The 7,810-nt window shown below is 39.2% G+C and overlaps 1 annotated feature.

Moving 5' to 3' along the window:
* Window positions 217–906: an enhancer, noted in NCBI's record as "NANOG hESC enhancer chr4:182271856-182272545 (GRCh37/hg19 assembly coordinates)". NCBI's record gives its function as "activates a minimal SCP1, AML or CMV promoter by ChIP-STARR-seq in primed H9 embryonic stem cells {active_cell/tissue: H9 hESC(primed)}" and the evidence as "EXISTENCE:reporter gene assay evidence [ECO:0000049][PMID:30033119]".

The following is a 7,810-nucleotide window of genomic DNA, read 5'->3' as shown; positions in this document are numbered from 1 at the left end:
TGAAATGACAATTTTGTTTAAAAATGGAAAAAGAGGGGAAGAAACTGAGATTCAGTATAAAGATATACATGTTTGGGACAAGCAGAAAGACCATTTTATATCTACACGTGGCCTACAGAGAAGTAGAAGAAGGAAAAGGTGAAAGATTAATGAGGAGGATTTATTGCATTTTCTATCATCTATGTGAATTATTACCTAGATGCCTGATACGTCCTAAAAGGAAAACTGTGATGAATAAATAAACAGCTCTCGAAATCTTCAATAGGGTGCTTTACCTTGCAGGGAATATTATCATTGGCTTTTGATACAATTTCTGCTGCAGGGAAAGACTTTCAAAGCTCAGAATGCTGAAGCATTGCCAGGCGCTCAAAGACCCCCTGCTGAGCGCGTCAAACTAAGAAATCTCTCTGAACTTGTCGAATTAAAAGTCATCTCCCTCTCTCTGCAACCCCTGCATGAGCTGGGAAGCTCTGTCCTCATTTTTTAGGCCCCTCCATGATAAACAAATGGAGCCTAGAGCATCTTTATTCTTTAGAGCCATGCAATTAAAATTCTTTTAGAAAATGTAATTGAAGGCAATGAATTTCAAAAGGAATTTCTAGTTAACAATGAGACGAAACAGTTTGAGTGGGCCACATGCAATTGTGTTTCAGAAGTAACAGCAAAACAGCTTGTTAAGAACCAGAGAAGTGTCCTTTTTTATTTTTATTATTTTGATTGTACATCAAGAGGTTGTTCCAGACTTAAACATCTCAGCAGGATTTATGGTTTCTGGAATGTCATAAGACTTAATTACTCAGGCTGCAAAGAGGAGTATACTAGTAAAATATGAACAAAGCCATCTGAGATCCCTGGTCGCTGCAAATCATTATTTATCTATCCCCCCCACACAAATTAAAGAAGTTTAAATTGTGTTTGCATTTTTTAGGCGCCACACTGTACTTTTCCTTTTCCCCCCTTATCCTTGTGTGTTCACAACACCAACCCCATTGTAACAATGTGATAATCCCCGCAGCATTAAATTGATGGGGCTACAAACAGATACTGTAACAAAGAGTTTCAAAGTCCTTTGTTAATTAGCAAAAATTAGAGAAGCATTTTAAATGTGTTTAGATAAACAGAATAGGGATGAATTACCAATTTCAAGTGCCCAAGATGAAAATGAACCATTTTCAAAAAAGGCTGATAGTGTTACACTGAGTCTTTGGGGAAGAGTTTCTAAAGATCATTCATTCTTTGGTCTATATCTTTATAAGCGATTACTTATATTAGTGTTATTAATTGCTCCCTAGTGTCTGAAATATCTCTGATGGTAGGTATGAAAAGGGGAGTAAATGTTGAATATGTTGTCATTACCCACTGAGGAAGAGGTTGGATATCTGTGTGTGTATGTGTGTGTGTGTATAATTCTTACTAAAGCATGCTTTGCTTATAGGACTGATCCTGCTTTCCAAATGGAGAATGTTGATCAAGATAAGGCATCAGTCTGTTTTAAGTGTGTAAATTTTGCAGTATATTGGTGCCTAGAACAAAAAATAGCACATTCAGGTGAATGAGGACATTTTTGTGGCACAATATCGTTTTAATGACTTTGAATGCCAAATGATGTTTAGAGTAGAAAATGTTCAATTACAGAGAATTGGGACCAGTGAGACATGTTATAAAAGGAAGCCAACAGGACGATGTTATAAAAGCAAGTGTCATATAATTGTTACAGGGTCCCTGAAACCACAGGAAGTTTTTGAAGAAAGAAGGGGCATGAATGGCATGAATGGCATTAGATACTGAAGAAAGCTTATAAGAATGAGACTGAGAAAAATGAGGTGGAATTTGTTGATTAGCAGCTAATACATAAAGAAGAAAACATGTGATTGCAGGGGGTTAAGGAAAAACTCCTTAAAAATATAGACAATGAGGAAATTACATTTATTTGGGATAGTGTTTAGTAAAGGGGAAAAATGACAGAGGACAATGGGATTAAATGGGAAGGTTTTAATATTTGTTTTAAAAGAAACTTATTTAAAAAGGGAAGGAGGTAGATTCAAGCACTCAGGGGCATAGATTCAGGGACCTAAAGATGGGTCTGTAAAAAGGGAACAGCATTTTTTAGTTGTCATCTTATTCTATTATGAAAATAGTTGGTGGGGAGTGGTGGCTCATGCCTGTAATCCCAGCACTTTGGGAGGCCAAAGTGGGCGGATCACTTGAGGTCAGGAGTTGGAAACCAGGCTGGTGTACATGGTGAAACCCGGTCTCTACTAAAACTACAAATCAATTAGTCAGACATGGTGGCTGGCGCCTGTAATCCCAGCTACTTGGGAGGCTGAGGCAGGAGAACTGCTTGAACCCGGGAGGTGGAGGTTGCAGTCAGCCAAGATCTCCTTACTGCACTCCAGCCAGTAAGGAGCAACAGAGCAAGACGCTGTCTCAAAAAAAGAAAAGAAAAGAAAGGAAAAGAAAGAAAATAGTCCATTAAGTCAAAGAGAAATTGTTGACTTAAGCGCCCTGAGTAGTATTTCAATTGTTCCACCAATGTATGTAAAAAATTAAATCAATTTTCTCCAAAGAGAAATTATTCGTTATTTTGATTGAGTTTTCTATACATTCAACTGGTGAACTGGACAACAGTAAACATTAAAGATAAGCTGGGTGCGGTGGCTCACGCCTGTAATCCCAGCACTTTAGGAGGCTGAGGCAGGTGGATCACCTGAGGCCAGGAGTCTGAGACCAGCAAGGCCAACATGGCGAAACCCATCTCTACTAAAAATACAAAAATTAGCCAGGCACGGTGGCACACACCGGTAGTCCCAGCTACTCACGAGCCTGTGTTATGAGAATTGCTTGAACCCAGGAGGTGGAGGTTGCAGTGAGCCAAGATCCTGCCACTGCACTCCAGCCTGGGCGACAGAGAGAAACTCTGTCTCAACAAAACAAAACAAAACAAAACAAAACAAAACAACACAACAAAAAAATAAAGATAGGTAAGGAGGTTTCTTAATGTTAAGAAATATAAATATTTTCACAGCATTCAAGGTCAATTATCAGAAACGACTGGAATATTTCATGAATAGAACATAAATAAATTAAAAAATTTATTTACGTAGCCTTCAGTTTCTTCCTGTCTTTCTTTTATTTAAACTTTGTTTCTATGACATTTATAGTGTTTTGTTTTCCTTTCATTTAAAAAGAATCCAAACATGTTAACCACAACAAACATTTGCTGCCTGAAAAAAAATCAAACAAGAACTATATGGCCGGGCGCGGTGGCTCACGCCTGTAATCCCAGCACTGTGGGAGGCCGAGGCGGGCAGATCACTTGAGGTCAGGAGATCGAGACCATCCTGGCTAACACGGTGAAACCCCGTCTCTACTAAAAATACAAAAAATTAGCCGGGCGTGGTGGCGGGCGCCTGTAGTCCCAGCTACTCGGGAGGCTGAGGCAGGAGAATGGCGTGAACCCAGGAGGCGGAGTTTGCAGTGAGCCGAGATCACACCACTGCACTCCAGCCTGGGCGACAGAGCGGGACTCCGTCTCAAAAAAAAAAAAAAAAAAAAAAAAAAAAAAAAAAAGAAATACAATACCTAGATGTCTATGTAAAGGAAGACTCTAATCGAATCTGAAGTTCTTGATTATACCTCAGACATTGTAACCCGTTTCAGAAGACTTCCCCAGAATCTCTTCTCTAGGTACATGTGTTCTTCAATCAGAACAAAGAAGGATCTCACTTTCTGATATCACAGTAAATGCAAGTGCAGCCCTCTAGGTGAAATTATGTGAAAATCCTTTCTTTGAGAAAGGATTCAGGAAGAAGCAAGTCGAACTGAAATTGACTTATATATCTGAGCTATAGCTATGGTACCCAGTGGATCATAAGTGAATTATCTCACCTGATTTTATTTACCCCTCCTCTAGGCCCTACTTTGCTTTTAATGTCTGTTTCTAGAACAAGTTTGATGAGAACAGATATTCATCACAATTGTCTTTGCCATGAATCAAGGATGAGGAATTAGCAATAATAAAGATAATTAAATATAATTTATAGCCTATTTTGTATTAAAGTTCTCAAATTATGTGCATTAGGCATATTGGCGACACTTGGAACTACTTCAGATAAACTTATATTTGTCAAGGTATATATGCATTTTGAGGGCTGCATGGGTAATTGCTTTAATAAGGATAGAATCTTTTCCCCTTACCATAGCTATAAGGATTTAGTTGTATTTGTTTTTTCTTTTTTTCTTTTTCTTTTTTTTTTTTTTTTTTTGAGATGGAGTCTCGCTCTGTCACCCAGGCTGGGGTGCAGTGGCATGATCTCACTCACTGCAAGCTCCGCTGCCCGGGTTCACACCATTCTCCTGCCTCACCCACCTGAGTAGCTGGGACTACAGGCTCCCGCCACCACACCCGGCTAATTTTTTGTATTTTTAGTAGAGACGGGGTTTCACTGTGTTAGCCAGGATGGTCTCGATCTCCTGACCTCGTGATCCGCCCGCCTCGGCCTCTCAAAATGCTGGGATTACAGGCATGAGCCACAGTGCCCGGCCCTTAGTTTTTTTTTTTTTTTTTTTTTTTTTTTTTTTTTGTTTTAGATAGTGTGAACCCTTCCAAAAATGAAGTAAGAATGACTATTATCTGTTTTTCATTTTAACAAAAATATATGGAGCAACTGTAATATATACTAAGGGCTTTGCTAAGCATTGGGAGAAGCAAAGATGGTTTCTCTTCTAAAATAACTTACCATTTAGCTTTGGGCTGACTGTATTTCTCGGTTTTACGTCTGGAGTTGCGTGGCAGACACTCATCATTAATTTGGGGTAGCTAGGCTTTTAACCATATTTCATGCTGGACAAAGTGTCTATTTTAAAAGTTTTGTGGAAGACACTCTCTGTAAGAGCTAAAAACATCATAGGCTCATGTCAGCCGGAGAGGTGCACTGCTCAGATTTCCGAATATTCAAGAGAGATCCTGCTGCAAAGAAAATTGTGTAGCCAATAAACCTCCAGTTGCTGAAACCCTGGGATTCACTAGAACGTTCACACTCATCCCAGGTTTTCCCTGAACGACTGCTAGCCAGTGTCTGAACATAGCAGGTACAAGAACCTGCCCCTTTCTGCCCCGTGGTGGCTGCTTCCAAGGGGCACCCTTTGCCTTAGGGCTCTCTGTTAGGTTGGCTGAGACTGTCTCAGAGCTACACTGCCGCTGAGCCCCCACCTCCCCAATCCTCCGTTCTCCACACTTTTCTTTCTTTCAAAGGTGTCAGTTTCACACTGGGGGCTGAATGCTCTTTTTGCTCACTCCTGCTTTCTCCCTTACTTATCATTCACAGATGTGTTCTCAATAAATCTTATGCACATAGCATTCCATTTTGTCATCTGTTTCCTGGAAGACCCAAACTGGTACAATGCCAGTCTTCAAATTTGTGCTTGATATATAGGAATTTTTTCCCACAGAGGGTCAATGCATTTCATTGGGGAGGACTTTCTTAAGATGTACACAAACAGAAGTGGGATCCAGCTTCACACTCTTCCCATGACAAGATATTATGAAGAGCCAAATCAATAAATCTGTTTCAAATGCATATATTTGGTTAGAGTCCAGGCAAAATATGCAGAGCCAAGATTAAATGCCATTGCAGGCTCTGGAAAGTTTCCTTGACTGAAATAGCCAGTCTTTCTTCAAAAATTCAATGAATAGAAGTATAAAAATGCCGGTGCTGTAAATCAGAGAATAACAAATTGCAGCTCATGGAGCTTCAGTTAGTCCTTCATGTTACATGTAGTTGAACCAATATATCATGCTACTGATTGTTCAGAATCTACTGGATTCCCTGAGAGGAGAAGGTCAAAACAAGCACATTATAAGACCCTTTTATTTCTCAATTTAAACTACATATTGGCATTTACACAGGTAGTTCAAGTATTGATCTTTGTTTCTGGATGGGGTCGTGGGACAAAATCATAATACATTTAGAAATTTTGTGACCACAATAATCCATTAGTTCATTAGATCAACACTGTTCTTTTAGCCTCGGAGTTCTAAACTAGGTTTTGGAAAGATTAAAAAGCATTAATGTATACATACTTCCATAGCCAGTTCTTAGCATAGTTGTCCATTGTCTATCTATTCGTGCATATGTGGACATCTTGGAATTGGTGTAGAATACATAAATATCAGTTAGCCTTCAAAGTGACCCCGTGGGTTAGAGAAGAGAGCAGGGGAGCCCTTTTGAACCCTCAAAGTCATCCATGAGGGTCAAAATCAATCTCTTCCAAACCCCTGTTAATGTTGATATTTTGATCTCCTTCTATGAATCACGAATGTCTTAACTGACTCTAGAATGGTGAATCCTTTGCAGAAGGTTTTCAATTTACATTACTCAGATCCATCAGAGAAATAGCTCCCTCTGACAGGCATAGCCTTATTAAATGTATTTCTTAAATAATAAGACTTGAAAGTCAAGTTTCATGGATTGCAGAATGGATGTTGTTTGCAGGCATGAAAACAACATTAATCTCCTTGTACATCTCCATCAGAGCTCTTGGGTTACAAAGTGCATTGTCAATGAGCAGTAATAGTGTGAAAGGAATCTTTTTGCCTAGGTAGTGGGTCTCAACTCTGGGCTTAAAATATTCAGTAAACCTGGTATAAACTGGTGTACTGTCATACTGCTTTATTGTTCAATTTCTAGAGCACGAGCAGGGTAGATTTTGCATAATTCTTAAGGGCCCTAGGATTTTTGAAATGATAACAGAGTACTGGTTTTAACTTAAAGTCACCAGCTGCAGTAGCCCCTGATGAGATAGTTAACCTGTCTTTTGAAGCTCATATCATTGAAGGTAGGCATTGATGTCTCTTCTGGAGCTATGAAAGACCTAAATGGCATCTTCTTCTAATACAGGGCTATTTTGTCTACACTGAAAATCTGTTGTTTAGTATAACCAACCTCATCAATGATCTTAGCTAGATCTTCCTGATAACTTCTTGTAGCTTCTTCATCATCACTGTCTACTTCACCTTGAACTTTTATATTATGAAGGGAGATGACTTTTTTCCTTAAACCTCATGAAGTAAACATGAAATTGCTAGCCTCCAAGTTTTCTTCTTCAGCTTCCTTACCAATCTTAGCTTTCATAGAATTAAAGAGAGTTAATTCTCTCTTTAATTCTTGCCCTGGGTTAGGCTTTCGTTTAAGGAAATGTTGTGGCTGGTTTGATCTTCTATCCAGACCCCTCAAACTTTATCAGCATATAAGGCTGTTTTCATCACTTGTATTTTCACTGAGTAGCACTTTTAGTTTCTTTCGAGAACTTTTCCTTTGCATTCACAGCTTGGCAAACTATTTGGTACAAGAGGCCTGTGTATTGACCTGTCCCAGCTTTCAACATGCCTTCTTCAGCAAGCTTAATCGTTTCTAGCTTTTGATTTAAAGTGAGAGACGTGTAACTCTTTCCTTCATTTAAACACTTAGGGGCCACTGTAGAGTTACTGACTGGCCTAATTTCAATATTGTTGGGTCTCAGTGATCAAGGAGGCCCAAGGAGAGATATAGAGATGGGGAAATGGCTAGTGGAGCAGAGAGAACACCCATATAGTATTTATCCATTAAGTTCACCATCTTATGTGGGGGCAGTCCACGTGGGCACAAAATAATTACAATAGTGATATTGGAGATCCCTCATCACAGATCACCATTACAGATAATAAGAATATGAAAAAATTGTGCTATTGTGAGAATGACCAAAATATGACACAGAGACAAAACGTAAACACATGCTGTTAGAAAAATGAACTTGTTCGATGCGGGTTTCC

This window comes from Homo sapiens, chromosome 4 (genome assembly GCF_000001405.40).
Source record: "Homo sapiens chromosome 4, GRCh38.p14 Primary Assembly".
NCBI classification, from domain to species: Eukaryota; Metazoa; Chordata; class Mammalia; order Primates; family Hominidae; genus Homo; species Homo sapiens.
Note: the sequence above shows the minus strand (reverse complement) of the source record. Positions and strands in the feature narration are given on the sequence as shown.